Source organism: Homo sapiens, chromosome 11 (assembly GCF_000001405.40).
Source record: "Homo sapiens chromosome 11, GRCh38.p14 Primary Assembly".
NCBI lineage: Eukaryota > Metazoa > Chordata > Mammalia > Primates > Hominidae > Homo > Homo sapiens.
In genome coordinates, this window is record NC_000011.10 from 1,994,824 (window position 1) to 2,020,549 (window position 25,726).

General features: G+C 60.5%; 1 protein-coding gene, 1 long non-coding RNA gene and 1 other non-coding gene across 10 annotated transcripts in view, besides 30 other annotated features; 1 reads left to right on the forward strand and 2 right to left on the reverse strand.

Moving 5' to 3' along the window:
• MRPL23 (mitochondrial ribosomal protein L23) overlaps positions 1–20,121 on the forward strand; it is a 67,613-nt gene extending 47,492 nt beyond the window's left edge. Inside the window, exons 6-7 of one of the 2 annotated variants that reach the window (XM_011520273.2) lie at positions 16,718–16,867; positions 17,483–20,121. In XM_011520273.2, coding sequence (XP_011518575.1) covers positions 16,718–16,867; positions 17,483–17,561 — 229 coding nt within the window. In that variant the 3' untranslated portion in view covers positions 17,562–20,121. The remainder of the gene's footprint in view (positions 1–16,717; positions 16,868–17,482) is intronic. The other variant, NM_001400176.1, reaches the window with a different exon arrangement.
• H19 (H19 imprinted maternally expressed transcript) lies at positions 353–6,443 on the reverse strand. 7 transcript variants are annotated; one of them, NR_131224.2, is made up of 5 exons: positions 6,395–6,443; positions 1,464–1,598; positions 1,256–1,368; positions 1,053–1,175; positions 353–971 (listed from the first exon to the last, which is right to left on the reverse strand). It is a non-coding gene; the product is annotated as a H19 imprinted maternally expressed transcript (long non-coding RNA). The 7 variants fall into 7 exon arrangements; NR_185829.1 differs by lacking the exon at positions 6,395–6,443 and adding an exon at positions 1,695–3,019 and having other exon boundaries at positions 1,464–1,594; NR_185831.1 differs by lacking the exon at positions 6,395–6,443 and adding an exon at positions 1,695–3,019 and having other exon boundaries at positions 1,053–1,118.
• MIR675 (microRNA 675) lies at positions 1,936–2,008 on the reverse strand. The gene has a single exon (NR_030533.1). It is a non-coding gene; the product is annotated as a microRNA 675 (primary transcript).
• Positions 2,531–3,378: an enhancer, noted in NCBI's record as "H3K27ac-H3K4me1 hESC enhancer chr11:2018584-2019431 (GRCh37/hg19 assembly coordinates)". NCBI's record gives its function as "activates a minimal SCP1, AML or CMV promoter by ChIP-STARR-seq in naive H9 embryonic stem cells {active_cell/tissue: H9 hESC(naive)}" and the evidence as "EXISTENCE:reporter gene assay evidence [ECO:0000049][PMID:30033119]".
• Positions 3,379–4,227: an enhancer, noted in NCBI's record as "H3K27ac-H3K4me1 hESC enhancer chr11:2019432-2020280 (GRCh37/hg19 assembly coordinates)". NCBI's record gives its function as "activates a minimal SCP1, AML or CMV promoter by ChIP-STARR-seq in naive H9 embryonic stem cells {active_cell/tissue: H9 hESC(naive)}" and the evidence as "EXISTENCE:reporter gene assay evidence [ECO:0000049][PMID:30033119]".
• Positions 3,379–8,686: a biological region, named in NCBI's record as "H19/IGF2 imprinting control region". NCBI's record gives its function as "regulatory_interactions: H19 | IGF2".
• Positions 3,922–5,178: an enhancer blocking element, noted in NCBI's record as "H19-Ci fragment that includes the A1 repeat, part of the B1 repeat, and CTCF sites 6 and 7". NCBI's record gives its function as "strong orientation-dependent enhancer-blocking activity" and the evidence as "EXISTENCE:reporter gene assay evidence [ECO:0000049][PMID:12874112]".
• Positions 3,922–8,686: an imprinting control region. NCBI's record gives its function as "controls imprinted expression of the H19 and IGF2 genes" and the evidence as "EXISTENCE:mutant phenotype evidence [ECO:0000015][PMID:15314640, PMID:20007505]".
• Positions 4,214–4,261: a protein binding site, noted in NCBI's record as "CTCF site 7, or h7". NCBI's record gives its function as "binds the unmethylated maternal allele but not the methylated paternal allele" and the evidence as "EXISTENCE:chromatin immunoprecipitation evidence [ECO:0000226][PMID:12960026]" and "EXISTENCE:sequence alignment evidence [ECO:0000200][PMID:10839546]".
• Positions 4,228–5,074: an enhancer, noted in NCBI's record as "NANOG-H3K27ac-H3K4me1 hESC enhancer chr11:2020281-2021127 (GRCh37/hg19 assembly coordinates)". NCBI's record gives its function as "activates a minimal SCP1, AML or CMV promoter by ChIP-STARR-seq in primed H9 embryonic stem cells {active_cell/tissue: H9 hESC(primed)}" and the evidence as "EXISTENCE:reporter gene assay evidence [ECO:0000049][PMID:30033119]".
• Positions 4,611–4,883: a direct repeat, noted in NCBI's record as "A1 repeat". NCBI's record gives the evidence for it as "EXISTENCE:sequence similarity evidence [ECO:0000044][PMID:10079367]".
• Positions 5,006–5,422: a direct repeat, noted in NCBI's record as "B1 repeat".
• Positions 5,006–7,225: an enhancer blocking element, noted in NCBI's record as "BglII-EagI fragment containing the B1, B2, B3, B4 and A2 repeats". NCBI's record gives the evidence for it as "EXISTENCE:reporter gene assay evidence [ECO:0000049][PMID:10839547]".
• Positions 5,114–5,186: a protein binding site, noted in NCBI's record as "CTCF site 6, or h6, or B1 site". NCBI's record gives its function as "binds the unmethylated maternal allele but not the methylated paternal allele" and the evidence as "EXISTENCE:chromatin immunoprecipitation evidence [ECO:0000226][PMID:12960026]", "EXISTENCE:protein binding evidence [ECO:0000024][PMID:10839547]" and "EXISTENCE:sequence alignment evidence [ECO:0000200][PMID:10839546]".
• Positions 5,293–6,251: an enhancer blocking element, noted in NCBI's record as "H19-Bi fragment that includes part of the B1 repeat, the B2 and B3 repeats, and CTCF sites 4 and 5". NCBI's record gives its function as "weak enhancer-blocking activity in either orientation" and the evidence as "EXISTENCE:reporter gene assay evidence [ECO:0000049][PMID:12874112]".
• Positions 5,423–5,828: a direct repeat, noted in NCBI's record as "B2 repeat".
• Positions 5,543–5,590: a protein binding site, noted in NCBI's record as "CTCF site 5, or h5". NCBI's record gives its function as "binds the unmethylated maternal allele but not the methylated paternal allele" and the evidence as "EXISTENCE:chromatin immunoprecipitation evidence [ECO:0000226][PMID:12960026]" and "EXISTENCE:sequence alignment evidence [ECO:0000200][PMID:10839546]".
• Positions 5,829–6,235: a direct repeat, noted in NCBI's record as "B3 repeat".
• Positions 5,924–6,771: an enhancer, noted in NCBI's record as "OCT4-NANOG-H3K27ac-H3K4me1 hESC enhancer chr11:2021977-2022824 (GRCh37/hg19 assembly coordinates)". NCBI's record gives its function as "activates a minimal SCP1, AML or CMV promoter by ChIP-STARR-seq in primed H9 embryonic stem cells {active_cell/tissue: H9 hESC(primed)}" and the evidence as "EXISTENCE:reporter gene assay evidence [ECO:0000049][PMID:30033119]".
• Positions 5,949–5,996: a protein binding site, noted in NCBI's record as "CTCF site 4, or h4". NCBI's record gives its function as "binds the unmethylated maternal allele but not the methylated paternal allele" and the evidence as "EXISTENCE:chromatin immunoprecipitation evidence [ECO:0000226][PMID:12960026]" and "EXISTENCE:sequence alignment evidence [ECO:0000200][PMID:10839546]".
• Positions 6,236–6,430: a direct repeat, noted in NCBI's record as "B4 repeat; partial compared to other B-type repeats".
• Positions 6,772–7,619: an enhancer, noted in NCBI's record as "OCT4-NANOG-H3K27ac-H3K4me1 hESC enhancer chr11:2022825-2023672 (GRCh37/hg19 assembly coordinates)". NCBI's record gives its function as "activates a minimal SCP1, AML or CMV promoter by ChIP-STARR-seq in primed H9 embryonic stem cells {active_cell/tissue: H9 hESC(primed)}" and the evidence as "EXISTENCE:reporter gene assay evidence [ECO:0000049][PMID:30033119]".
• Positions 6,862–7,128: a direct repeat, noted in NCBI's record as "A2 repeat". NCBI's record gives the evidence for it as "EXISTENCE:sequence similarity evidence [ECO:0000044][PMID:10079367]".
• Positions 6,946–6,988: a protein binding site, noted in NCBI's record as "BWS-s043WT-OCT-binding site 1 in the A2 repeat; a Beckwith-Wiedemann syndrome C>T point mutation abrogates binding ability". NCBI's record gives its function as "maintenance of the maternal allele unmethylated status in early embryogenesis" and the evidence as "EXISTENCE:protein binding evidence [ECO:0000024][PMID:24299031, PMID:20007505]".
• Positions 7,226–8,686: an enhancer blocking element, noted in NCBI's record as "EagI fragment containing the B5, B6 and B7 repeats". NCBI's record gives the evidence for it as "EXISTENCE:reporter gene assay evidence [ECO:0000049][PMID:10839547]".
• Positions 7,261–7,662: a direct repeat, noted in NCBI's record as "B5 repeat".
• Positions 7,263–8,352: an enhancer blocking element, noted in NCBI's record as "H19-Ai fragment that includes the B5, B6 and B7 repeats, and CTCF sites 1, 2 and 3". NCBI's record gives its function as "reproducible enhancer-blocking activity in either orientation" and the evidence as "EXISTENCE:reporter gene assay evidence [ECO:0000049][PMID:12874112]".
• Positions 7,382–7,429: a protein binding site, noted in NCBI's record as "CTCF site 3, or h3". NCBI's record gives its function as "binds the unmethylated maternal allele but not the methylated paternal allele" and the evidence as "EXISTENCE:chromatin immunoprecipitation evidence [ECO:0000226][PMID:12960026]" and "EXISTENCE:sequence alignment evidence [ECO:0000200][PMID:10839546]".
• Positions 7,663–8,068: a direct repeat, noted in NCBI's record as "B6 repeat".
• Positions 7,783–7,830: a protein binding site, noted in NCBI's record as "CTCF site 2, or h2". NCBI's record gives its function as "binds the unmethylated maternal allele but not the methylated paternal allele" and the evidence as "EXISTENCE:chromatin immunoprecipitation evidence [ECO:0000226][PMID:12960026]" and "EXISTENCE:sequence alignment evidence [ECO:0000200][PMID:10839546]".
• Positions 8,072–8,262: a direct repeat, noted in NCBI's record as "B7 repeat; partial compared to other B-type repeats".
• Positions 8,188–8,235: a protein binding site, noted in NCBI's record as "CTCF site 1, or h1". NCBI's record gives its function as "binds the unmethylated maternal allele but not the methylated paternal allele" and the evidence as "EXISTENCE:chromatin immunoprecipitation evidence [ECO:0000226][PMID:12960026]", "EXISTENCE:protein binding evidence [ECO:0000024][PMID:10839547]" and "EXISTENCE:sequence alignment evidence [ECO:0000200][PMID:10839546]".
• Positions 18,613–19,341: an enhancer, noted in NCBI's record as "H3K27ac-H3K4me1 hESC enhancer chr11:2034666-2035394 (GRCh37/hg19 assembly coordinates)". NCBI's record gives its function as "activates a minimal SCP1, AML or CMV promoter by ChIP-STARR-seq in naive H9 embryonic stem cells {active_cell/tissue: H9 hESC(naive)}" and the evidence as "EXISTENCE:reporter gene assay evidence [ECO:0000049][PMID:30033119]".
• Positions 20,122–25,726: the final 5,605 nt, after the last annotated feature.

Here is a 25,726-nt window from a genome sequence, read left to right on the forward strand (position 1 = left end):
GACAGGAGGCACTCGCTCGGGGATGGTTTGGTGGTCCCCGACCCCTGCCTCAGAGCGCAGGCCCCCTCCGCAAGCCCAGCCCCCGCCCAGTCTGTGAAGCCCCTGGTCCCACAGCCCCTCCACTGCCATCACTGCATGCTGACCGCCTGCCCTGCACCCCTGAGGTCCACACACCCTGTGCTCACCCCACCCCTGGTGTGTGCTGCGCTGCACCCATCCCAGAATCCCCCACCCTGGAACCCCCATCCCCCTTTTCATGTACTCCTCCCCATGCCCCCCAGCCCCCCTCTGCCCAAGGCTGGCCTCCCCCACATCATGCCCACAGCCCGGATTCCAGAGTCCTCGAGACAAATTGCTGTAACAGTGTTTATTGATGATGAGTCCAGGGCTCCTGCTGAAGCCCTGGTGGGGAGGGGCACAGAGCGAGATGGGGCGTAATGGAATGCTTGAAGGCTGCTCCGTGATGTCGGTCGGAGCTTCCAGACTAGGCGAGGGCAGGGTGAGGCCTCGGGCACACAGCCGGCGCCCAGTCACCCGGCCCAGATGGAGGGCGGCCGGGCCCTGCACAGGCACTTGCCAAGGTGGCTCACACTCACGCACACTCGTACTGAGACTCAAGGCCGTCTCCACAACTCCAACCAGTGCAAATGACTTAGTGCAAATTAAATTCAGAAGGGACGGGGGAAACAGAGTCGTGGAGGCTTTGAATCTCTCAGAAAAAAGGAAAGACAGGAAAGCTCAGAAACAAAGAGACAGAAGGATGAAAAAGAAGAAGAGGGAGGTGGTGGGGACGGCGTCATCCCGCTGGAGGAGCTCAGCTCTGGGATGATGTGGTGGCTGGTGGTCAACCGTCCGCCGCAGGGGGTGGCCATGAAGATGGAGTCGCCGGTGCGGGGTGGGTGCTGCGGGCGCTGCTGTTCCGATGGTGTCTTTGATGTTGGGCTGATGAGGTCTGGTTCCTCTAGCTTCACCTAGAGATAGCGACACGTGGGTGGGATGGGGGCAGGGTGCTCGGGGGCCTGGAGGCTTCCGGAAGGAGCGCTGGTGCTCACCTTCCAGAGCCGATTCCTGAGTCAGGTAGTGCAGTGGTTGTAAAGTGCAGCATATTCATTTCCAAGCTAGAGGGTTTTGTGTCCGGATTCAAAGGCCCAGGCTTGAGCTGGGTAGCACCATTTCTGTGGATGGGGAAGGAGTGAGGTCCCACTCAGCTCCTCTCGCGTGCCCCCCACCCCAAGTGTGGCAGGAAGCCCCTCACCTTTCATGTTGTGGGTTCTGGGAGCCCAGAGGGCAGCCATAGTGTGCCGACTCCGTGGAGGAAGTAAAGAAACAGACCCGCTTCTTGCCGCAGCCCCACCAGCCTAAGGTGTTCTGTAGAAGACAGAGGTCGGGGCAGTGAGATGGTGGCCCGGCGGGGCGGTCTGGGCAGGGCCGCGTCCTGACGCAGGGAGGGCAGACACGCTCACCAGGAAGGCCGGACGCGCCTCCTCTGTCCTCGCCGTCACACCGGACCATGTCATGTCCTGCTTGTCACGTCCACCGGACCTGGCGTCTTGGCCTTCGGCAGCTGGTGGGCACGTCCACCCCAGCTGGAGACCTGGCTGTGGGGAGAACGAGAGAGTCGTGTGGGGAGAACGTGTTGGTTGTGTGGGGAGGGGCGGGTGGGGGCTGAGGGTGGCAGAGGGGGAAAAACTCACCCTCGTCTCCAGCCCGAACGCTGAGGCACCGATCCCGGCTCCGTCGCCGCCCGCGAGGCCCGCCTTGGCCACGGGCTCTGGAGGCCAGTGCCTCCCGCTCGCCGCCCGCTGCGCTCCTCACCCCTGCCTGCACCATCCTCCCTCCTGAGAGCTCATTCACTCCGCCCCGCCCGCCTCGCCTAGTCTGGTCTCGCCCCATGCCCTTGACTCCCCTGGATGCTGTACTGTCTGCCAAGCCAGCCCCAGGGGCTGAGCGGTGAGGGCATACAGCGTCACCAAGTCCACTGTGGGCCCTCTCCGCACCAGACCCTGGGCCGCAGTGCCTCGTGGGACCGGCGCCCGCAGGCCGAGCCCCTGCAGCCTCCTTGCTGCGCAATGTCCCGGGGCCCCCCTCCCGTGGCCGCTTCGCCCTCCTGGTGACGTCCTGCTGCAACTCCCCGAGCACTGCCTGTCTTCCCGCTCTCCAGCCCTCGAGGCTCCGGCATAGGCCTGAGAAAGCCGTGCCGGAGCTGCCCCTGTGCCTGCTACTAAATGAATTGCGGTGGGTGAGGTGGCAGCTGGGGACCCCTCTGTCCTGTGTCCCCTGCCATGTCCCTGTCTGACCCAGGCCTGGGGTACCACCCCACGTGCTGGACCCTACGCTGGCCACCCCTGTGCTCCCTCCCTGCCCTCTTGCTCTTTCTGCCTGGAACGGGCCCATAACCCCCCAGCCTTGCGCAGTCTCGGCTCCCCCCGAGAAGATGTCACCTTTGCTAACTCTCCTGCCCCCATCCTGCCCCTCTGCTGGGAGGGTGTCTGCTTCTCCCCGCCAGCCCTCGATCCCCTAAACCTCCTTCTTTCAGAAGGCTGGGGAAGCGAGGCCTGGGGAGGGAAGGGACTCACCTGCCCGGCAGATGGGGTCCTCACCTGCCCGCTGCTGCCAGCTACACCTCCGTTGCCCAGGCCCTGGGATCAAACCCTGCCCACCAGCTCCCCTCGTCCAACCAGCTGCCACGTCCTGTAACCAAAAGTGACCGGGATGAATGCCTGGCTCCCCCTTCTTTCCAGCCCTAGCTCAGGCCCATCGTCCCCAGCTGATGTCGCCCTGTCTGCACGATGCCTGGGCGCCTACTCCACACTCCTCACTGGCCTCAGGCCCCACCAGCCCTGCCTCGAGCTAGCCCCTCCACCCGTCATCACTCCTGCCAGACTCCAGATGTCCAAGGTGCTCCTTGGCTCCCACAAGCTCTCCTCCAGCACCCCATCTTCCCCTGGTTGCCCCTCGGTTCCCCACTTCCCCAGTTTCCCCCGTTACCCCCCACCCATCCCACCCCCTCCCTCACCCTGCTCCTCGGTCCTAGCCCGGGCTTTTTCTAACTGGGGTGGCCCCGCCCAGAATTCCCGCCCCTGCCCTGCCGGCCAATCAGAGCAGGGCCCTCCCGAGGGCCCCCGCAGGGCCCACCTCCGCCCTGGACAGTTCCAGCACACGTCTCTCTCACCCAGCACCCATCCTGGAATTCTCCAAAGACGGCCTCCCCGCACCCCTCCTTTGGCATCCGGAGACAGGGCTGAGCATTGCCCCATCACCTCCCTCAGGGTCCAGGACTTCTCCCTCCCAGACCACTGTCTCCCCTCAGGGGACACCATGCCTGCTGCTCCCTGCCTGCCAGCGCCCTGCACATACTTTGCACATGGCTGGGGGCCAGCTGCGGGTCCCTGGGGACTCGGATGGCACAGAGGGCCCCTTCCTGCCACCATCACGGCTCAGACCTCACGTTCCTGGAGAGTAGGGGTGGGGTGCTGAGGGGCAGAGGGAAGTGCCGCAAACCCCCTGGTGGGCGCGGTGCCAGCCCCCCAGGCCGATTCCCATCCAGTTGACCGAGCTTGTGCTGGTCACCGCGGTTTCCGCAGGACAGAGTCCCCACAGCCGCTGGGCACCCCGGTCCCATTCGCGGCCACTTTCCTGTCTGAAGACCGCATGTTGCCGGGCTGTGCTTACGGCTCGCGGGCGCACTCTACTGACAAGCGGTGGGCGGCCTCACAGACTCTCCCAGGCCCGCGTGGGGCACCACGGTTGGGAGTGGAGTGGAGACTGGCGAGTTTCGACTCCCCCAGCCACCCCGCTGTGGGTCCGTCGGTCACCACCTTGGCCTTTGGTGAGGGTTGTTGGGGCCCTGCAGTCCCTGGGGTTCACCTCAAGTCTCGAGTGTCAAAGCCGTGAAGGGGAGCACCAGGGCCAAGGGACCCAGAGTTCACGGGTCCAATCACCCAGCAGGCCCTCTGGGATGTGGAAGGGCTGGCCGCGCCTTCGGCAAACCCTCTGTTCCCATGGCCCCACCGGAAAGGGCTGAGTGCTTGCCTGCTGAGCACTGACCGCCGGGCTTTGTCGTGCGTGAACCCCACGACATGGGGGAATTTCCATGGCATGAAAATTCTCAGGCTTTTCCATGAGTGGACCCCCAAGTTAGGAGACCAAGGCAGACCCCCACATTTTGCTAAAAGTGGAGTCCAGCCTTGGGTCACCTTCAGACTGTGATGTGAGTCACCACTGCCGCCTCTCGGCCATTTCCGTCTCCACAGCCACAACCGATTCTGTGCCATCGCTGGGAGATGGGCTCACTGGGGACAGCACCCAAGACCCAAGGGGAGACTCAGGAAATACTCCGGAAATACAAATGCTCCAGGCAAGGCGGCTCCCCAGGCCCCTCGCTCCTGCTCCAGGCATTGTGGGAGGGGCTAGCACAGGATCCGGTCGTGCTGCCAGCAATGCGCAGGCACGGGGAACACCTGTGGGCAAATTCACCTCTCCACGTGCCAACTACCGCCGGCCGGACGTGATGATCCCTGAGCGTGGAGCACACCCGAGCCATCGAACATCCTAACCCCATCAGGATCCCCACCCCGTACCGAGTCCACAAGCCGCAGGGTGTCTGCTGCACCCACGATAATGGATTATCTCCAGCAACACAAGGATCCTGGACCAGAGAATAAAGCAGCAGTGGCGCTCCCAGCTCTTTAGCATCTTAAGCTCCTGAATTAGCACCTCAAACCTGCATTGAATGAGAATGTTAATGTCTGGCCACTTAGGGCTGAGGAGATCAGAGTGTTCACTGGGGAGGCAATTGTCAGTTCAGTAAAAGGCTGGGGATTTGGGGGCTGTCCTTAGACGGAGTCGGAGCTGTGCTCTGGGATAGATGTGGAAAATGTAAGATTTTGGTGGAACACACTGTGATCATCACATAAGTAGGCGTGACTTGAGTCCCAGGCCATGACACTGAAGCCCTCGGAGTGTGACCCGGGGCCACGGGGCTGTGGATAATGCCCGACCTGAAGATCTGGTGCGGCTCCCATGAGTGTCCTATTCCCAGATGACCCCCGTGAACCCTGCGACGCGTGGCTTGGGTGACCCGGGACGTTTCCACGGGCGAACCCCAGTTGGGGCGGGCTCGGGCTGTGATGTGTGAGCCTGCACTGCCGCCGCGCGGCCACTTCCGATTCCACAACTACAACCAATTCCGTGCCATCCAGGCGGTGAGACCGAAGGAGAAGCCTCCAGAAATACCCATGTGCTATGCAAGAGCCCCCGGGCTCTGTGCCTGCCAGAGACCCTGCGAGAAGGGTTTCACACTAGGGCCGAGATCCCCATCATCCATGGAACTGGGACACCTCATTGTTCCCCTAGTATCTCCTCCCATCTCCCCAACCTTCAACAGTGCACCCTGGGGTGAATCAGACACGTAGCCCGATATGGCTCCCATGAGTGTCCTATACCTCACGACCCCTGTGAACCCTGTGGCGCCCGGCTTGGATGACCTGGGATGTTTCCACGGGCGAACCCCAGCTGGGGCGGGCTCAGGCTGTGATGTGTGAGCCTGCACTGCCGCCGCGCAGCCACCTCCGATTCCACAACTACAACCAATTCTGTGCCATCCGGGCGGTGAGACTGAAGGGGAAGCCTCCAGAAATACACATGTGCTATGCAAGAGCCCCCGGGCTCTGTGCCTGCCAGAGACCCTGCAAGAAGGATCTCACCCTGAGGCCAAGATCCCCATCATCCAAAGAATGGGGACACTTCATTGTCCCCCAAGTATCTCCTCTCATCTCCCCAACCCTCAATAGTGCACCCTGGGGTGAATCAGACACATAGCCCGATGTGGCTCCCATGAATGTCCTATCCCTGATGACCCCCGTGAACCCTGCGGCGCCTGGCTTGCGGGACCCGGGACGTTTCCGCGGGCGAACCCCAGCTGGGGCGGGCTCGGGCTGTGATGTGTGAGCCTGCACTGCCGCCACGCGGCCACTTCCGATTCCACAGCTACAACCAATTCTGCACCATCCGGGTGGTGAGACTGAAGGGGAAGCCTCCAGAAATATTCATGTGCTATGCAAGAGCCCCTGGGCTCTTGAGCCTGCCAGAGACCCTGTGGGAGGGGTCTCACGCTGAGGCCGAGATCCCCATCATCCAAAGAATGGGGACACTTCACTGTCCCCCAAGTATCTCCTCTCATCTCCCCAACCTTCAACAGTGCACCCTGGGGTGAATCAGGCACGTAGCCCGATGTGGCTCGTACAAGGGTCCTACCCCCGATGACCCTCGCGAACCAATGCGGTGCCTGGCCTGTTGACCCGGGATGTTTCTGCAGGCAAACCACAGGTAGCCGGGCTCGGGCTATGACGCCTGAGCCTGCCCTGCTACCACGTGGCCACCTGTGTTTCCATACCTTCAACTGATTCCGTGGCATCTGGGCAGCGAGACTCCAGGAACACTGTGCGCTCTGCTTGGCAGGCTCCCAGGATCCCTGTTCCTGCCAAAGGCCTTGTGGGAAACGATTCCCTCTGGAGCATGCGCTTGAGTCCTTGGGTCCCAGTCATGATCACCTCAGAACACAGGGATCCCTCATTTTGGAAGTCTCTGCTCTCCTGTCCCAGCTTCAGTGCCTGACCCAGGTGATACGGGGCCATGGTCCTCTGATGAGGTCCTTGAGTCTGATTCCAGCAGCACAGAGCCTCCAGGGCAGAGCCGAGGTGAGGCTCTGGAAAATGCACTGTCAGGCTCACACAAGCACATGTTGGCCAGATGTACAGATTCCACAGCACAAGGCAGGCAATTGGGCACAGACCGCACAGTGCACAAACACCATTGATCCCCATCCTTTATCGATTCCACAAACCGCGGGATGTCTGCTGCACCCACATTAGCAGATTATCTCAGCCAACACAAGGATCCTAGACCCCAGAATAAAGCAGCAGTGGCACTCCCAGCTCTTTAGCATCTCAAGCTCCTAAATTAGCATCTCAAACCTGCACTGAATGGGAATGTTAATGTCTGGCCACTTAAGATTGACAAGCTCAGAGTGTTCACTGGGGAGGCAATTGTCAGTTCAGAAAAAGGCTCGGGATTTGGGGGCTGTCCTTAGTCGGATCTGTGCTCTGGGATGGATGTGGAAAGTATAAGCTTTTGGCGGAATTTGCTGTGCTCATCACGCGGGTAGGCGTGACTTGAGTCCCAGGCCATGACACTGAAGCCCTCAGAGTGTGACCTGGGGCCACGCGGCCGTGGATATGGCCCGATACGAAGACGTGGTGTGGCTCCCATGAGCGTCCTATTCCCAGAAGACCTCCGAGAACCCTGCGGCACCTGGCTTGGGTGACCCAGGACGTTTCCGCGGGCGAACCCCATCCAGGGAGGGCTTGGGCTGTGATGTGTGAGCCTGCACTGCCGCCGCGCGGCCACTTTTGAGTCCACACTTACAACCGATTCTGTGCCATCCGGGTGGTGAGACAGAAGGGGAAGCGTCCACAAATACCCATGTGCTACGCAAGAGCCCCCAGTTTCTGTGCCTGCCAGAGACCCTGTGGGAGGGGCCTCACGCTGAGGCCGAGATCCCCATCATCCAAAGAATGGGGACACCTCATTGTCACCAAAGTATCTCATCTCCCCAACCCTCAATAGTGCACCCTGGGGTGAATCAGACACGTAGCCCAATGTGGCTCCCATGAGTGTTCTATCCCTCACTACCCCCGTGAACCTTGCGGCACCTAGCTTGCGTGACCCGGGACGTTTCCGCGGGTGAACCTCAGCTGGGGCGGGCTTGAGCTGTGATGTGGGAGCCTGCACTGCCGCCGCGCGGCCACTTCCGATTCCACAACTACAACCGATTCTGCACCATCGGGGCGGTGAGACCGAAGGGGAAGCCTCCAGAAATACACATGTGCTATGCAAGAGCCCCCAGGCTCTGTGCCTGCCAGAGACCCTGTAGGAGGGGTCTCACGCTTAGGCCGAGATCCCTATCATCCAAGGAACTGGGACACCTCATTGTCCCCCAAGCATCTCCTCCAATCTCCCCAACCTTCAACAATGCACCCTGGGGTGAATCAAACACATAGCCCGATGTTAGTCGCATGAGTGTCTATCTCTGACAACCCTCGGGAACCAATGCGGCACCTGGCCTGGGAGACCTGGGACGTTTCTGTGGGTGAACCCCAGCCAGGCGTGCTCGGGCTGTGATGTGTGAGCCTGCACTGCCGCCGCGCGGCCACTTCTGATTCCACACGTACAGCCGATTCTGCGCCATCAGGGCAGTGAGACGGGCCTCCCTTGGTGAGGTCAGCAAGATGGGCCGCCCTCGGTGAGGCTGGCATCCAAGACTGAATGGGAAGCCTCCAGAAATACCTGTGCGCTGTGCTTGGCAGGCTCCCACGATCCCTGTTCCTGCTGGAGGCCCTGTTGGGAGGGTCTCCCTCTGGACCTTGGGCTCAAGTTCTTTGGGGTCCAAGTCATGACCACTGCAGAACAGAGATTTCTCTTTGCCTCCAAGTATCCACTGTCCTACGTGCTATGGGAGCTGTCATCGGTGGTGTCCCTGGGATTAGGCTCCCAGCCATGCATGGGCTCCTAGACAGCCCCAGGGTTCTCCCATTGGGAAATGCCGCTCTACTACACATCAGCCACAGCGCATTAATGCTTGGTTCTCCTGGTGAAACCGCCTCTGCAAAAATTATTACAGAAAATCGGCCGGCGGTGGTGGCTCATGCCTGTAATCCCAGCAGTTTGGGAGGCCGAGGTGGGTGGATCACCTGAGGTCAGGAGTTCAAGACCAACCTGGCCAACCTGACGAAATCCCATCTCTACTAAAAATACAAAAATTAGCTGGGCATGGTGGTGGGCGCCTGTAATCCCAGCTACTTGGGAGGCTGAGGCAGGAGAATCACTGGAACTCCGGAGGTGGAGGTTGCAGTGAGCCAAGATCGAGCCATTGGACTCCAGCCTGGATGATAAGAGCGAAACTCTGTCTCAAAAAAAAAAAAATATATAACAGAAAATTATGACAATGAAAGAGATCTGACGTAACCAACTCTGTCTTGCCTTCTTATTCATTTCTGGGTGCAGGCTGGACTAACTTTGGGAAGAACTTAGTTTATAGTTTATCTTTGAAACAAAGACAATAACAGCCCTTTCCCAGGACAGACCCTCTTCCTGCCTGGGGACTAGACTTTCAGGACTAACAAATTAGCCACAGATTAGAAATTATGGTTTAGGAGTCATGGAGTCACACATCTGGAGGCTGAAAGATTTTTAACCTCCTCAAATTGCTCCTAGGATTACATCACTGTTGCAGAACCTAAGATCAGTGGTTGAGATATTTCGCAGACCCTGTACTGGGTGGATCAGCTGGCACCCCCCAGATTGATAAACTGGCTCATCTAGTCTTGTGGCCCCCACCCAGGAACTGACTCAGCAGAAAAAGATGGCTTTGACTCTCCATGATTTCATCTCTGACCCAACCAATCAGCACTCCCTATTGACTCGCCCCCTACCCACCAAATGATCCTTAAAAACTTTGATCCCCAAATTTCCTGGGAGACTGATTTGAGTAATAATAAAACTCTGGTCTCCTGCACGGCCGACTCTGTGTGAATTAAACTTTATTGCAAGTCACCTGTTGTGATAAAGCAGCTCTGTCCAGACCGGCGGCAGGGAGAACCTGTTGGGCGGTTAGACGGGTTCAGACACTACTCTCCTGGGGGTGATGGACATCTCTTCTGTTCACTGATTCCCGGAGGAAGATTTGGGAGATTTTGCCTGGGAGCAGGCAAACACCTCGGGCTATTTGCTTTCTAATGGGGCATTTGCATGTGTATAGGACAGACCGGGAGCTGCCCAGTTTCTGCTTCCAGGCGCACCTGCTAAGAGTAGTCTTGCCAGTGAAGCGACTGCTGGGGTACAGCAGCACAGCACAGGGGACCTAGTTTTTTTTTGTTTGTTTTTTTGTTTTTTGAGTCTCGCTCTGTCCCCTAGGCTGGAGTGCAGTGGCATGATCTCGGCTCACTGCAGGCTCCGCCTCCCGGGTTCACACCATTCTCCTGCCTCAGCCTCCCAAGTAGGTGGGACTACAGGCGCCCACCACCTCACCCGGCTAATTTTTTGTATTTTTAGTAGAGATGGGGTTTCACCGTGTTAGCCAGGTTGGTCTCGATCTCCTCATCTTGTGATCCGCCCGCCTCAGCCTCCCAAAGTGCTGGGATTACAGGCGTGAGCCACCGCACCCAGCAGGGGACCTAGTTTTGAGGACTACTGGGGTCGGGTCTGGTCTGTGCTGGCCACGGTAATGGTGAGTGCCTGGGTGCTATGATCCACACACAGGGTGGCACCAACATGAAAGTGGCCAGAGCCCCAGCCAAGGTGCCCAGAGCACTTGGGTGGGGATGTGGGCACAGCGCTGTCACCTGGAGGCAGATGTGGGCACAGTGATGTCACATGGACAGGTATATAACCACAGTGATGTCACCAAGACAGGACGTGGGCACAGTGCTGTCACCGGGATAAAGATGTGGGCACGGTGCTGTCATCTAGATAGACACATGAGCACTGTGTGTCACCTGGATAGGGATATGGCACAGTGTCACCCGGATAGGGACATGGCACAGCGTGTCACCTGGATAGGGACACAGGTATAGCGTGTCACCTGGGTGGGACATGGGCATAGCACATCACCTGGGTGGGACACGGGTACGGCACGTCACCTGGATAGGGACACGGGTACGGCACGTCACCCGGGTGGGACACGGGTACGGCACGTCACCCGGGTGGGACACGGGTACGGCACGTCACCCGGGTGGGACACGGGTACGGCACGTCACCCGGGTGGGACACGGGTACGGCACGTCACCCGGGTGGGACACGGGTACGGCACGTCACCCGGGTGGGACACGGGTACGGCACGTCACCCGGGTGGGACACGGGTACGGCACGTCACCTGGATAGGGACACGGGTACGGCACATCATGCGGGTGGGACATGAGTACAGCGTGTCATTAGATAGAGGGGCTTTCTCTTCTCTCTCCCCTGTGGCTGGGACCTACCCAGATATAAGTAATGGGATAGCCCACTTGGGCTTTGCCAGTTCCCTGAGGCTGCCATAAGGAAGCCCCAGAAACTGGGCTGATTGGAACAACCACGTGGAATGCGTCTCTCCCTGTTTCGATGCTAGAAGGTCAGAGTCGGGGTGGTCAGGGCTGGCTCCTTCTTCGAGCTCTAAGGGAGGCTCCAGTGCTGGCCGACTTTCCCAGTGTTCCCAGGCTCCCAGACCTGTCACCCCAGCCGTGCCCATCTTCCAGGATGCTCTCATCCTGCGCCTTCACGCAGCGTTGCTCTCTCGTGCCTCTCCTCTACCTGTGAGGACACCATGATGTTTGATTCAGGGCCTGCCCTACTGCAGTCTGACCTGATCGATTGCGTCTATAATGACCCTATTTCCAAATGAGTTCGTGCTCTGAGATGCTGGTGGTCAGGGCTTCAACTTGTCTTTTCTGGAGAGGCACTAAACAGACTCCATGAGGAACTGAGGAGTCCAGAGCAGTGAGATGGAAGGAGGCTGGGCCCTGACCCTGGGAGCTGGCGATCTTCACACTCATGACCCTCTCATGTCTCTCTCCGTGACAGAGAAAAGCCAGCTCTGGGCCCATTCAGGATCGTCCTGGGGTTTCCTGGCTGTGGCAGCTGTACCTCCCTCTCACCTGTGCCCACCACTCCAGAGCCGGTGTGTGGGCTCACGCTGGTGGCTGAGTCCTGACCGTGGGGTAACCAAGGGGGAGGCATGAAGATGAGGTCCCGAGAGGAGACACAGGACCGTTCTCCTGATGTGAGCAGGGGTGAGCACAGTCTCATAGGACTGTGTCCTTATAGGAAGAGGAGAGGAGGACACAGACACACACGGAGGGATGACCCCGTGAGGACATGTGGAGAAGGCAGGATCTATAAGCCAAGGAGAGAGGCCTTGGAGGACCCAGCTCTGCAGCAGCCCTGATCTTGGACTCCAGCCTCCAGGACTGGGAGAGGATATATTTCCCTCATTTAAGCCTCCCGGTCCATGGCGGTTTGTTGCGGCAGCCCTGGCAGACTCACCCGGCTGCAACGTGACCAGTGGGTGGAAGCGGCCACCACATTGGCATCTGCTGGGGTGCTGCCTGGGTGCTGCTGCTGCGCATGCCTGGTGTCACCGTCCCTGGCTCAGCCTGCTGGCCCTGGGCCCTAAGCCTGCAGCTCCTCTGGGTCCTGGGCCATGGGTGTCTGTGGCCCCCTGGTGAGGGGTGCTTGCTCCTCCGGATGTCCCCTGTGTTTTGGGATTGGAGGGGTTTGATTCCTGGGGCTGCTGTGACAGTGATCACAGACTGGGTGGCTTTAGCCATAGGAATGGACTCTCTCACAGCTCTGGAGCCCAGAGGTTCACCACCCAGGGGAGGGCAGGGCCGCCCTCTTTCGCAAGGCCCTAGCGTGGCCCCTCCTTGCCCCTTCTGGCTTCTGGGGGCTCCAGGTGTCCTGTGGTGTGTGGCTGCGTTGCTCCAGTCTCTGCCTCTGTCTTCACACGGCCTCCTCCACTGTGTGTCTGTCTCTGTGTGCAAATTTCCCTCTTGTTACAAGGACGACACTCATTGAATGGATGCTTCCCCCCGCCTCAATTCAGTGTGACTTTGTCTTTATTTGGTTGCACCCACAAAAGCCCTTGTCCACAGAAGACCCCACTCACAGGTCCTGGGTGGACATGAATTTCCGGGGACACTCACAGGTCCTGGGTGGACATGAATTTCCGGGGACACTCACAGGTCCTGGGTGGACATGAATTTCCAGGGAACATTATTCAGTGCAGCATAAAGTGGTAAGAGACAGATGTAGGGCACTGGACTGTCCACGTGGGTTCACGTGTGGCCTCGTGAAGTCCAGGTGGCCCTTGCCCCTTCCCACTTCTTGCCCATCTTCTTTCCTGACCACCTGTCCTGCTGGCTTCAGGCCCAGCCCCAGAGCCGGGCAGTAGCGTCTCACAGACAGCCTGGAGCTCCATCTTGGCAGAAGGTCCGATCCCTTCCAACAAAGCCCCTGCCCTTTGACCGTGAGGAGGTGGTGCTTCTCTGATTGAATCCTGACAGAGCCACTTCATCTCAGGGATCACAAAATGGAGCAAAATAAGATGTTCAGCCCAAGAAGGAATGGAGCGAGATGTCACGAGGCTGACGGTTTGACCCATGACTCTGTCTGCTGCCATTTCCTTGACGTCGGTGCACTGACCCAGCCGCAGCTGCCTCTGCGGCACCCGTGCATGCCACTTACAGGGACGCGGTAACAGTCTTTTCCCCACTCCGTGCTCCCTTTGCAAGGAAGCTTCACCTCTGTTCATGCCAGGAGGATGGATCTATTTCCCCTCCCCTGAAATCTGGGTGCATTTTGACCAATAAAATGCAGTGGGATGTTGCTCTGGGACTTCAAAGCTGACCGTTAAGAAGCCTTAGTTTTTTTTCCCCATGAAAAGCCACGTACGGCTCTCACTGTCATGAGAATGCCATGCTGTGAGGAAGCCCAAGCTAGCCGTGTGGAGAGAGTTCCTAGAAAGGGCACCAGAGTGCCAGATTCGGAGGGCAAGGCTACTTGGACCGACCGGCTGAGCCCAGCTTCTGGTGGATGGCAGCCGCATGGCGGAGCCTGGCCGGTCACCCACGGGCAGAAGATGTACCCAGCTAAGCTCTGCCCCGAATCCTGGCTTGCAGAGCTGTGAGAGCTCACGTCACGGCTCTTTTAAGTCACTGGCTTGGGAGTAGTTGCTCATCCAGCAAGGACTGGTGAGAAGCCCGAGCCCCTCCACTTCTCTGAGCCTCACTTTTCTGCACCAGGGAGTTCCCCTGGGAATCAGCCACAAAATATCAGGGAAGCCGGCGTTCACGCAACTCCTCACCGGCTGGCTGAGGGAAAGGAGACGGGGTTGGGACTCACCTCCAGGGCAGGTAGAAGAGAGACAGTCCTGGGGAAATCCAGGTGTGGAGTTTTAGTGAGGCTGGTCCTGGCTGTCACCCACGTTGAGGACGTTGTGCATGGTGTGGGCTGGGCCTGCTGTGGGGTTTCCCCTCTGGCCTGAGCTCACGGTGTGGTGCAGCCTGGCGAGCTCTTAGCTGCTCAGAGTTCAGAGTTGGAAAGGGGCAGGATTGAGGCAGCCTGCCATGGTGGGCCCCAGAATACACACATGGGAGGCTCTGGGGGGTCCCTGCGGAGCAGCTCTGGCTCATCCTGTGCCCGCTGACACCCAGCCTGTGCCTGCCTGTGCCCCTGGACCTCTGGGTGTGTCTGAGGGCCTTGGCCTGTCTTTGGAGGCCTGGAGTTTTAATGGGGCCGGTCCTGGCTGTCAGTCACATTGAGGATGTCATGCATGGTGTTGGTGACTTGCCATCTTGGCAACACACAGCTGGCTCCTGGCCTCTCTGCTGTCGACCCCGCAGCCCTCTCCCCAGCCTCTGCTGACCCTACAGCCCTCCTCCCCACCCGGTCTCTGCCGGCCTCCCCCACCAGCACATCTCGGCCTGGTGCCCCTGCTGCCGGCCATCCAGGGCCTGTGGATCCAGCTCTTCCTTTTGGGGTGAAGACTGTCACCTTCTGCCACGAGCCCTGTGTTCTCACTCAAGGACCCCACTGGTTTGTGAGGTGTCTGTTGGGCTGGACACAGTTGCTGCTTCCAAGCTGGGAACGCAGTGTCCCTGGGCCTCTGTCCCTTCCAGCCTTGTTTTCTGCTGGTCTTCTCTTTGGGATCTCTCTCTCTCTCTCTCTCGTTGTCTGTGCTAACAGTTCTTAGAGACTCTCTTCAGGGGACTTCTCCTCCTCCTGACTCTGAAGTCCTCCTGTATCCCCACTTTCCTGCCCCTGCTTCCTTAGGCTCACGCTGACATCAGCAAGGTGGCCCCAGGACACCCTCTCCAGGGCTGCCTTCTCGTCTCTCCCAAAACACTCACAGCCTCCCAGAGCCAGACCCTCCCCCCTCAAAGACAAGCCATGCTGTCTTCAGGTCCTCTTTCTCCCACTCGTGGACAGGCCCCAGCCAGGCTGGTCCGGGCCATCTTCTTCCCCAGGACCCCCATCCTCCACCCACAGGAGTGGCCACTATCTGGAATCTCAGCACGCCAATGCCAGTGGGATCTGAGCCAGGAAGGCTGGAGAAGTCTCTCGGTAGGAAAGGTGGCTGGCCCTCCTCTTCCTCGCCAGGCTCCTAGGGGTCGTGAGTAGAGGGATGTGGACAGAGGGGACAAATGGCCCAGACTTTGTCTGGGGCTCACAGTGCGGTCCCAGAGAACAGGCACCACGTGGGAGGGGTGTACATGTCGGAGTGGCTTCGTGAAGGCCAGGGCAGGGGCTTGGGCAGGACATGCCCTGCGGAGGAGAGCCCCTTGCTCCCTGCTTGGTGAGAAAGGGCTATCTGACCAGGTGGGGTTTTAAGCCCTTGACCGTGGGTCTGGTTCATAGCAGGAGCTCGAGGGATATTTGTTGGATAAATGAAAGGATCAGTAGATGAGCAAGTGGACTGACTAAGGCTTAGAGAAAGGAGGACGTGGCCTGGGCTTTTCAAGGCACAGAGGACGCCTTCCTGGTCCAGATTCAAGAGGGAGCGAGGGCCTCCTTCCTCCCTCCACGCCAATCGTTCCTGGCCCCTTCCAGAATCATCTGGAAGCTAATCCTTTAGAAAACAAATATTTCAGACATCTCAACAACACAGGCCCTCCAAGTGGGGCCTGAGCAGATGGGCTGGGGCCTGGAAACTATCCCACACCCCCAGACGCTGGAGCCCACCACACCGCCCCAGCAACGTCCGCGGGGGACGCAGACCTCGGCCAGGAAAGTGTCAGAGCCGCCGGCCACCTGCCTGGGCCCCCGCTCCTGGGCCCTGTCCATTCCCCTTGGCAGCTTGAGCCATGGACAGGACATTCCTGAAGGCTGAGGCTGCACATTGGGGGGTTTGGGGCTGGAAAGGCCGGGGCAAGGTCCACAGTCACCCGCGGCTGGGCCGTGCGGCTGCCTCTCCTGCCTCCCTCCCTCCCCATGTGCACCTTCCCGCGTGGGGCTGGCCAGGAAATGGGGCATTTGTCTCTGTGGCCCTTCCTGCTGTCTGTGCCGGGCTGCCCATCTGGTCTTTACCACTAGGTCCCTTTCTGCCCAGCATCCACTGCACATGGTTCAGGCTGGCCACCAAGGCTGCACTCAGAGTCTCAGGGACTGGGTCAACATGGCCCCCTGTGGTGGGGTTGCCTCCTGCTCGCCAGGCTCTGGGGAGCAGCTGCGCTTGGCACCCAACTGCTCCCGGTGGAGCCCTTTTTCCCACCCAGCCCAGAAGCTCCCTGAGCACGGAGACTGTCTTCTTTGGACCTCTTCTATCCCCAGCAGCAGACCTGGGCCCTGTCCCGGAACTCGGAGCCCAGCACATAGGGGCACCCAGCGATGGGCCGAGAGCGTTCATGAGCCCCGAGTGGGGCCAGCCCCGCCTGAAAAGGCCATCATCACGGAGACAGGAGCAGGGCTGGCAGAGAGACGAGGACAAGGGCTTGGAGGTGGGAGGTGGGTGCTGCCGCCGGGACCAGTGAGGGCCAGTGAGGACCACTCTCTCTGCACGTGTCCTCCGGCCCTGTGCATGGAGCCCGGCCCACTCACTGGGAGCGGAAGTGATTGCATTGTTCTCAGATTTGGTCCGTAACAGTCTCCAGAAGGATCCTCTACGTTCTCCTCCCTCTACCCCCAGCAGCTTCAGGAGTGCCGAGCCACAAGGCTGCAGGAGCCTGGGTCCCCAGTCGCCTGGAGGAGACCCTGCCCACACCATACTCAGACCACCCTCCCAGAATGGTGACTGTGCAGAGATGCACGCATGTCGGCTGCACCCCGCCATCTTGGGGTGAGTACAGTGAGGGAGGACCACACGGGGGGCAGGAGGGAAGGGGGACACCTCTCCACACAGGAGCGCCTGCCCTGTCCTGACACACGTGCTGCCCTGGGGACAAATCATTTCCTCGCTCCCAACCCTAGTGTCTCTGTCCATAAATAGGGGTGGGGGCAGAGCCACACTTTAGTGCTTTCCAATGCTGCGTGCTGCAGGCAAACACAGCGTGCACTCAGATTAAACTCAGGGAGACTTCCCTCCATGGAGATGGGGTGTGGCAGGTGCAGGCTGGTAGAGGGAGGGTGGCTGTGGGAGGAAGGTCCCGGCCTGTGTGGCCCTGCTGGTCTGGCAGAGGGAGGGCGGCTATGGGGAGGACCCTGAGGGTGGAAGGTCCCAGACTTTGTGGCCCTGCTGGTCTGGGGAGGAGCTCGTTCACAGGCAGAGGCTGCGTCCCCACCTTGGACCGTGGACCTTGACCCGGACTGGCCGGCAGGACCCTCCCCTTGAGGGGATGTGAGAGGGGGTGACGGAAGGGGTTGAGGTGGCCCTGGGGAGGGGCTCACGGTGTGTGGAGCCAACAGTCTCCGTCTTGACGAACATGCAGGCCCTGTCCTTTCCCTCACCCCTCAGGGTACATATTTCCAGAAAGAAATCACTTCCAATTCCAAGGGCTCCATGGAGGCGGATTTTTCCATCTGGGCTTTTCTGATGAGTTTTCTTGGAGGAAACTTCTGCGTTAACTCACTTCCCTCCTCTGTGCCTCATGCGGGGACAATTAGGGGAGGCAGGGAGACCTGAAGCCCGGAGCCGGCCGCCGGGAACCCGTTTGTCCGTGCGCGCTCGGAAACCTGGAGGCAGCTCCCCAGTTCCTGTCTCTTCCCCGGGCGGGTCCCCACCTGGCCTGTGGCGTGACTGTGAGTCAGGGGTCTGGATCCTCCGAGGCCCGCAGGATCCGGGTGGATGGGCCACGTCTCTGCACGTGCAGCCTCTCCTGGGTCCCCTCTCACATCCGGCTCTGGCTGGGCCATTTCCCACGCTGTGGCTTCCAACCGCTCAGCCCGACTGCATCTGCACCGTTGCTGGCCGAGGGGAGGCTGCCTCTGCCTTCCCAGCCAGGACCCTGGGCCCCCTGTGTGTTTCTGGACCTCACTCTTGGCGGCCACCCGCGCCCTCACCCACATTCTCCCTCCGTGGCCTCGTGGCCTGGTACACTTGGGCTCTGGGCTGCTGTTTCCAGGACCCATGGGACAGGTGGCCTGGCTGCCCAGAGCCACGCTCCCCGGGCCCTTCTCCCCTCCTGCCCTTCTTCCCAGCAACCTGCAGATGGTTGGTGTTCCCTTCACCTGTGCCTGCCTGGCCTTCTCCTGGCCCCACGGTGAGGCTTCTGGGAGCACGAACTGCTAAGGGCTGCACTGTGTCTCTGCCCAGGCACGGAAGTCCTGACCCCACAACCTCAGAATGGGCCTGTCTAGAGGTGGATCTTTAAGGAGGTACCAAGTTAAGATGGAATCATTAGGATGACCCTGAGCCCATCCAACTGGTGTTTCTATAAGCGGAGATCAGAGCACAGACGCTGACAGGGCAACAGCCACGTGAGGACACAGGGAGATGGCGGGGTCTGCAAGCCCAGGAAAGAGGCCTCAGGAGGAACCCGCCCCGCGGCACCTTGACCTCGGACTCTCTCTCTCACGCTGTGGTACTTTCTGACAGCAGTCCAAGAAGACTGAACTCGTCACCTCCCGCTCCGTTTCCCACCACCTCTGGCCTGCCTGGCCTGTTTCCTCCAGCCTCCCACCCCTCCTTGTCAGCCAGTTGAAAATGCCCCTTTTCCCAGGACTGGTCTCTCCATGGGCACCCCTGACCTCCATAGGGAGTCCCACTGTGCCTCGCTTTGGGGGTAATCAAGATTGCCCCTCAGCCTCTCAGGCCCCTCCCTGCTCTTGGGTGCTGGATGCCCTGGGGACCCTTCACCAAGTCGCCCTGCTGTGGCTCTAGCTGGGCATGAACAGGTGCTGTCTCCAGAGCCCGAGGTCCTCAGAGGGGCCAGGCCCTCTGTCGTGGGAACAAGGACCCTAAGGCCCGGGAGGGGAGCGGCACACGGAGAACAGGCTGGGGACCTGGGCGTGAGCAGCTGGGCATGAGCCCTGCCCGCTTTGTCCCCTGGGGAGCCTGGCCTGGGAAGCATTAGCTTGGCCAGAGTCTCCCTGATGGGATTGGAAGCCCAGCCCTGCCTGGGAAGGCGCCTGTGGGCTGATGGGGATGGGGTGGCCGGGGCCCTGGGCTTCCAGGATGCGTGAAGCTCCTGCCCACACAGGGAGTCAGGTTCCTGTCCTGTGCACCTGGATGCTCCGGGAAGGACTGCCTTGGGGTCTGGCCACGAACTCCACTGGCTCCAGCTGTGCAGCCCCGCAGAAGGTGCTGCAGCACCCGCCCTGCCCAACACAGGCGCGGCTCTGGGGTCCGGCGTGGGCAGGGGATCTGGCATGGACCCATCCTCTTGAGGGCCTCTGGCGTGGTGGGTGGCAGGCTGGGGAGAGGGCTGCTGCCCTCCTTCTGGGCCTCCCAGCCCTGCAAGGGTGGCCTGGAAGGCGGGCAGTGCACTCTGGCCTGAGGGCCCGTGGGAGCCAGTCCTCTTTAGAAGGGCCCCCTCCATCCCCACCCATCAGCATTCATGGCCCTAGTACCAGGGAAGGAGGCCCAGGCCATGGGACCCCTGGACCAACCAACCCAGCCAGTTCTGGAGCTACCCGGGGCACCCGAAGAGTACGTCCCTCTGTTCCCAGGAGCCCCACTTTAGGGCCGTTTCCTGGGCTGACTCCCTGGCCTGCAAGCCCCCAGGTTGCTTACTAAGCCCAAACCCCCACCCATGCCACTGACCGCCCCTGCTCTCTGTTATCCAAAGCCCTCAGCTCCCTGTGCCCTCTGGGACACGGGGCCTCCTCCCTACAAGGAAAGCTGGGTCCCAAGCGCGACCCTGGCCTCTCCATCCTGCCCCCTGGCCACCCACCCCCTCGCCCTGTTTCTCTGTCCTGCAGGACTTCCTCTGGCTTTATTGTTTTAAGTTGGTGGTTGGGCCAACAGCCAGCTTCAATTACACTCCTCGCCTCCTCCTCCTCCTCCTCCTCCTCCTCCTCCTCCTCCTCCACCTCTTCCAGCCCTTCTCTGCCCTAGGCCCAGGGGTGGGCCTTGGGCTACAGCTGACTGTGGTACCCAGGCAAAACAGCCCTAGGAAAATGATAACAGAAAATAATAAAAATTATTTTTCTCTCTCTCTGTCTCCTTCTCCTCCCCCACCTTCCCCTCCCATCATAAAACAAGGAATTTATTTTTCGCGTGGCGCTCTGGGTCGCAGGCAACCACTCCGGTTTTCCCGCTGCGCTGAGCAGGCTGGCGGAGTTCTTGGGTTGATTTTGGGGATGGGAGGTGGGGAGTTGGGGGGGGCAGGGGAGCGTGTTTGTTTTCCATTGCTTTTGCAAAAAAAGGGGAGGGGAGAGAGGGCCTGTGCGGAGGCTGAAGCCACACTGGGGCCCTCTCACTCTCGCTGTCTGCAGAGAGCCAGGAAGAAGGATCAGAGGCGAGAGAGGGGCCGGGGATGGGGCCAGGGACAGAGCCGCTCCCCCTTCGGTTCCCTTTTCCCTTTTGGGTCTGAGGTTAAACAGAGGGCAGCCGGGGCCCGCGACCTCTGCCCTCTGACATCTTTGAACTCAAAAGTCTTTGATGTTTTAACATGCCTCCCCAAACCACAGCCAGGGCACCCTCTCCCAGAGCGTCAGCGACTGCCGAGGGGTGGGTCTGGGCAATGCCCCTCCCGCAGGGCTGGGATCTCCAGGCTCAGGCGGGAGTGAGGCCCCCTAGAACTGCCCTTCGTCCAGCGAGGGGCCATCTCCCTCAGCAGAAGCCCCGTCTTCCCCCTCTTCCCTCCCTGCTGTCTGCTGTCCCTGAGGCCCACACCTTGGTCCCGGAGCCCTGTCTGTAAGCCCCGCCCGTGCAGCCTTCTGGGGGCTGCCTCCCCTCTGGACCTTCAGGTGCGGAGAGGCCTGAGCCGGGAGGGCACACCTGCCTTTCTCTCCTGCCACTCCGCAGGAGCCACTTCTGCCCATCCCAGAACCAGCCCTCAGGGCAGGCTTGGTGCCACCGCTGTGCTGGGTGTGCACGATGCCCGTGGGCCGCCGGCTCCCCTCCGTGCTAATGCCACCCTCCAAAGCCATGGCTTCCTCTCGAGCCTTGGGTGTCCAGCAGCCTGACCAGACAGAGGCCTCCTCAGCCCCGCACCGAAGGAGGATGGAGGGGCCGGGCCGGCTCCTGTCGGTTGCCCGTGCTGGCCGACCCTCCGCTCCCACTGCAGGATGCGGGGGCAGCTCCTGCTCAGCTGTCCACAGGCTCTGGCGGGGGTGGAGGTCTCTCAAGGGGCCTGGGCGACGATGGAGACCCATCTCCCTCTGCTTCTGTGTCTCTGCCTTGGCCCTGGACCTTGCAGGGACCCCCATGTGCTCACTCAACCTCATCCCAGAAGCAGAGCCGGGCCAGTGCCCACTGGGGACACCCACAGTTACACAGAGTGTGTGGACCTCCAGGGCAGGTCCCCATGAGATGGGCACTCTGTTTCCATGCCGGGTGGGAGGAGGGGTCCTGGAGAAGTCAGGGGCCGAACCTGCGCCCAGACCCTCATCCCCTACTCCACCCACCCTGTACCCCCTCTTTCTCTCCACACTCTCCTTTTCTCTTCTGTTCTCCCCGTGCTCTCAACCCTGCCCCCTGCCCTGCAGCCTCTTCCTGTCCACCCTGGTCAGGGTATCTCTGGGGGTCCTCCGGGCTTCCCCAGCCTCCCCTGCATGCGTGCTGGTGTGGGGTAGGTTCCAGGTCCCAGCACGGCCCCGCCATGGCCAGAGGGCCCCAGGTAGGAGACGCCCGGGACGCCCTGAGCCAGGAGACAGGGCCAGGCTGTGGATCGGGTGGCGGGGCCCTGGTGGGTGGGCAGGGGGCTGGGGAGAGACCCAGGGACGCCAGCATGGCCCCTGCACCTGGCCCCTCCCCACCCAATACTCCAGCCTTGGCCGGGTTTCTGAGGGGCATTGTTATTAATATTATTATTGCAGCCGCTGCAAAAACACAGCTCTAAGCCCCTCGAGTGATTTATTTAGCGCACAGTCTAATTGATCAGGGCCAACTTTCCACGTGGTGGGGGAGGCAGCGCCTCGGCCTCCAGGAATCTTTGGTCTAGGGGGTCAGCTGCCTGCTGGGTGCCTCTGGGCAGACACTAAAGACTCGGCCGCACCCACCCCCACCTGAGGCTCCCTTGTGAGGCAGCACCCACCCAAAGGGAGGCCCTGGTCTGTGGGGAGAGGCGGCCCCTAGCGAGACCGACCAGAGGCCGGGACAGCCACTGCGCCTCTGAAGCTGGGCCTGCCGCCCCCGTGGCCCAAGGGCTGGTGCTGTGAGTCTGGCTGGTGCTGTGAGTCTGGCTGGGGAGGGAAGATGCAGGGCCCTGGGCCCGGGGTGCCTGGACTCCTACTCCCAGGCCCACGCTCTGTGTGTGAGGAGTCAGGACTCGGGATCTGTAAAGGCCCTGGAGGGACAGCCCTGGAGGGACGGCCCTGGAGGGACAGCCCTGGAGACCTGGTGACCTCTGTGCTGCCTGGGGTTTGGGGAGCATGGCCCACACCAGCAGCCCCCGCCACGTGACCCTCGATTCAGCCCTTCTGCATGCTGTGCATTCAGTGATCTGGGCATCTTTGGACAGTGCCATGGTGGATGATTAGGCCTGGGCACCCTGTTCCACCCAGTGCCTGTTTGCTGCTCCTGGGAGGGCAGTCCTCTCTCCTTGCCTCTTGGGTTACAAGGCAGTCTCCACTGAGAGCCGCCTCCCTTCCCTGCCCATACCCCCGTGGGGTCTGGGGGTGTCTCCTGCCCTCTTCTCCTGGACCAGGTGAAGGGCTGAGGGGGAAGGGGAGCCAGGCGGGGGCATGGGAGTGGTAGGGGGTGCCCTGGCTGCCGTGGGCTGGTGCATCCCTCCCCGGGCTCTCGCAGGGACCCCCCGCCCTCCAGCAGTGTTAGAGACATTCCTTTGCTCCCTCAGTGTGCTGGGGCACCTGCTTTGAGATAGTGCTAATTCGCAGGGGGCACTGAGCACAGACCCCCAGAAGCACGCTGGCTTGGCCTCCCCAGGCAACCGAAGTCCATACCAGGGGCCACAGCTGCCCCTGGGGTGTCTAGACCTCAGCCAGCCGCCTGGGTGAAGCCCCTGCCTCCTGTGCTTCAGGAGAGGTTGCCCAGGAACCCCCAACCTCCAGTCCCCTCACAGCTACCGGAATCCAAAGAAGCAAGAGAGTCCAGATAGGAGAGAAGTTTGGACTCCATTCTGGGGAGCCTGGGCGGGGGAGCTCTGTGAAGGAGCCGCAGGGTGAGCCAAGGCCAGGGTCCTCACCAGGGTGTCTGGGCCAGGGCTGCCCTCCCATTCCAAGCTCCGAGGGTGGAGGGTGAGCCCCTGGCAGTTTTGCTGCCCCTGGCCCCAGACCTGCCTGCTCCAGCACCCCTCGCCTGGCAGACCAGGGCTCAGGGAGGGGAGGCTGCACCCGCCTCAGGCAGAGTAGGGGCACAGGATGCTGATTTCTGAATCGGCAGCTGAGGCTGTTCCAAGCATCAGGGGCTCCCAGCAGGGCTGAAGAGAGGGGCTTGGAGGTGGATTCGGCCCCTACTTGGATCTGGAGTGCAGGCTAGTGGGGGTGCAGAAGGCCTAAGGGGTGAGGGGCTGCTCAGAGACGGCTGGTGTCACACACCTGAGAGAGGTGAGATGGGCAAGGAGGGGGAGGTGGGGGAGGAGAGGCGCAGCGGCGTGGGGGCAGGCACCCGAGAGATGGCAGGCCTGGGCAGCGTGGAACATTCATGTGCTGGGAAGGGGGCTTGGAAGAGGGGACCCATCAGGGACACAGCCCAGACTCACTGTCCCAGCCCCTCAACACCTCCCCCTTACCTTGGCTCCAGAAAACCCAAGGACATCGGGCTCTTTGGGGGTCCTGGTCATCCTGCACCGAGACCCCCAGAGGGACCCTGCCACCCCTCACCTCTGCTTTAGAAAACCCAAGCACAGCGGGTTCTTTGGGACCCCTGGTCATCCTGCACCCAGGCCTCCAGAGGGGCCCCGCCACAGTCCATCCCCTTCGCCCAGGTCCCCTCGGATCAGGGCCTGCCAGGGTGGTGTGGCAAAGGGGCCTGCATCGCGCCAACCTCTCGCAGCTCTCCAGCGGGTGCAGCCAGGCTCTGGCCCCCACACGCTTGGGCTTTGCTCCCTTCCCGTTTTATGAGGAATAAAAGGGGCTGTAAACCCTGCGCGTGGACAAAGTGCACCATATAAACGGCTCCTGGTAATAATGACATTTGCAGCGGTGCCCCTCAGCCAGGCATGTTCAGGGGGAGGGAGAGCCTGTCCCGGACACGCAGCATCTGGCCCCACCCCTGACAGAGGGGCAGGCACCACACACCACACACCACATACCACAGACACCACAGACACCACAGGCACGACCCTCCGAAGGACCAGCAGAGGCTGCACCTGGGGAGGCTGGGGGAGACGCGAGAACAGGGGCACTCCAAGAAAAGGCCAGGCTCCCTCTGACCCCATGTCCTCACCCCCATAGACACACACCTTCCAGCACGTGGCACTTTGTTAGGGACGTCAGTGGCTTGTGTTGCCACCTTATGAGGATAAGCAAGGCTGGGCGGTGGCTCTTTTGCCGTTTCCCTCCACGTAGCATGCCCTTGAGCCCTGGGACTCAGTTTCCCCATCTGACTCTTGGGTGTCTCACAGAGCCTTTCAAAGATTACAACGGGGCTGGGGGAAGACTGCGGCCAAGCCTGTGCCCCTTCCCTTCCTCTCACAGCTCCACAGGTGCAGATGGCCGTGGCCCTGTGCCACCCCTCTACAAACCACCAAGCCAGAGCAGGGTGGGGGTGCCAGGCCCCGGGGCTGAGGGCCACAGGAAGGCTTGGGGATTAGACGTGTTTCCCTTCCCTCTACATGCTCTGTCTCGCAGAAGCTGGCCCGGGAGGACTCCTGTCACCTTTTAAGGTGAATTTCCTATTAAGAAGATGCTTTTGTTCAGATATTGCCCAGTGGAATGTGCTTTCCTTAGTCCCACCCAGGGAAGCCAGCGGGCACCGCCTTGAGCAGTGACAGTGACCGGTAGTAGGGATCTGCCTGCGGCTGGAGGCCTCGTAGGAGACTTTCACGGAGTGCCTGGTCTCCTGAACCATCCGCGGAGGGGCAGAAGGCCCCTGGCACGTCAGATCTCTTGTCCTTGTTTAAACAAAATGGAATATTTTCCCCTTAATAAAACTCTTGGGAAGAATTGCCCATTTCTGTCTTTCAGGGACATCACCTTTCATAGAATGGCCCTGATCCCGAGTCATCCTGTAAAAATGGAATTTACAGCCAGGTGCGGTGGCGCACGCCTGTAATCCCAGAATTCTGGGAGGCCAAGGTGGGTGGATCACCTGAGGTCGGGAGTTTGAGACCAGCCTGACCAACACAGAGAAACTCCGTCTATACTAAAAGCACAAAAATTAGCTGGGCGTGGTGGCGCCTGCCTGTAATGTGAGCTAGCTGCTCGGGAGGCTGAGGCAAGAGAACCACTGGAACCCGGGAGGCGGAGGTTGCAGTGAGCGGAGATCGCGCCACTGCACTCCAGCCTGGGCAACAAGAGCAAAACTCCGTCTCAAAAAAAAAAAAAAAAAAAGGAATTAAAGGAATTTACTGCCAGTGCAGGGGTGTGCTGGGATGCTTTAACAATGGGCTCTCAGGGAGAAAACACATGCTTTGCTTTGGAGCATATTCCAGTGACCATGGTGTAAATATTCCCACCCAGGCTGATTGTCAAG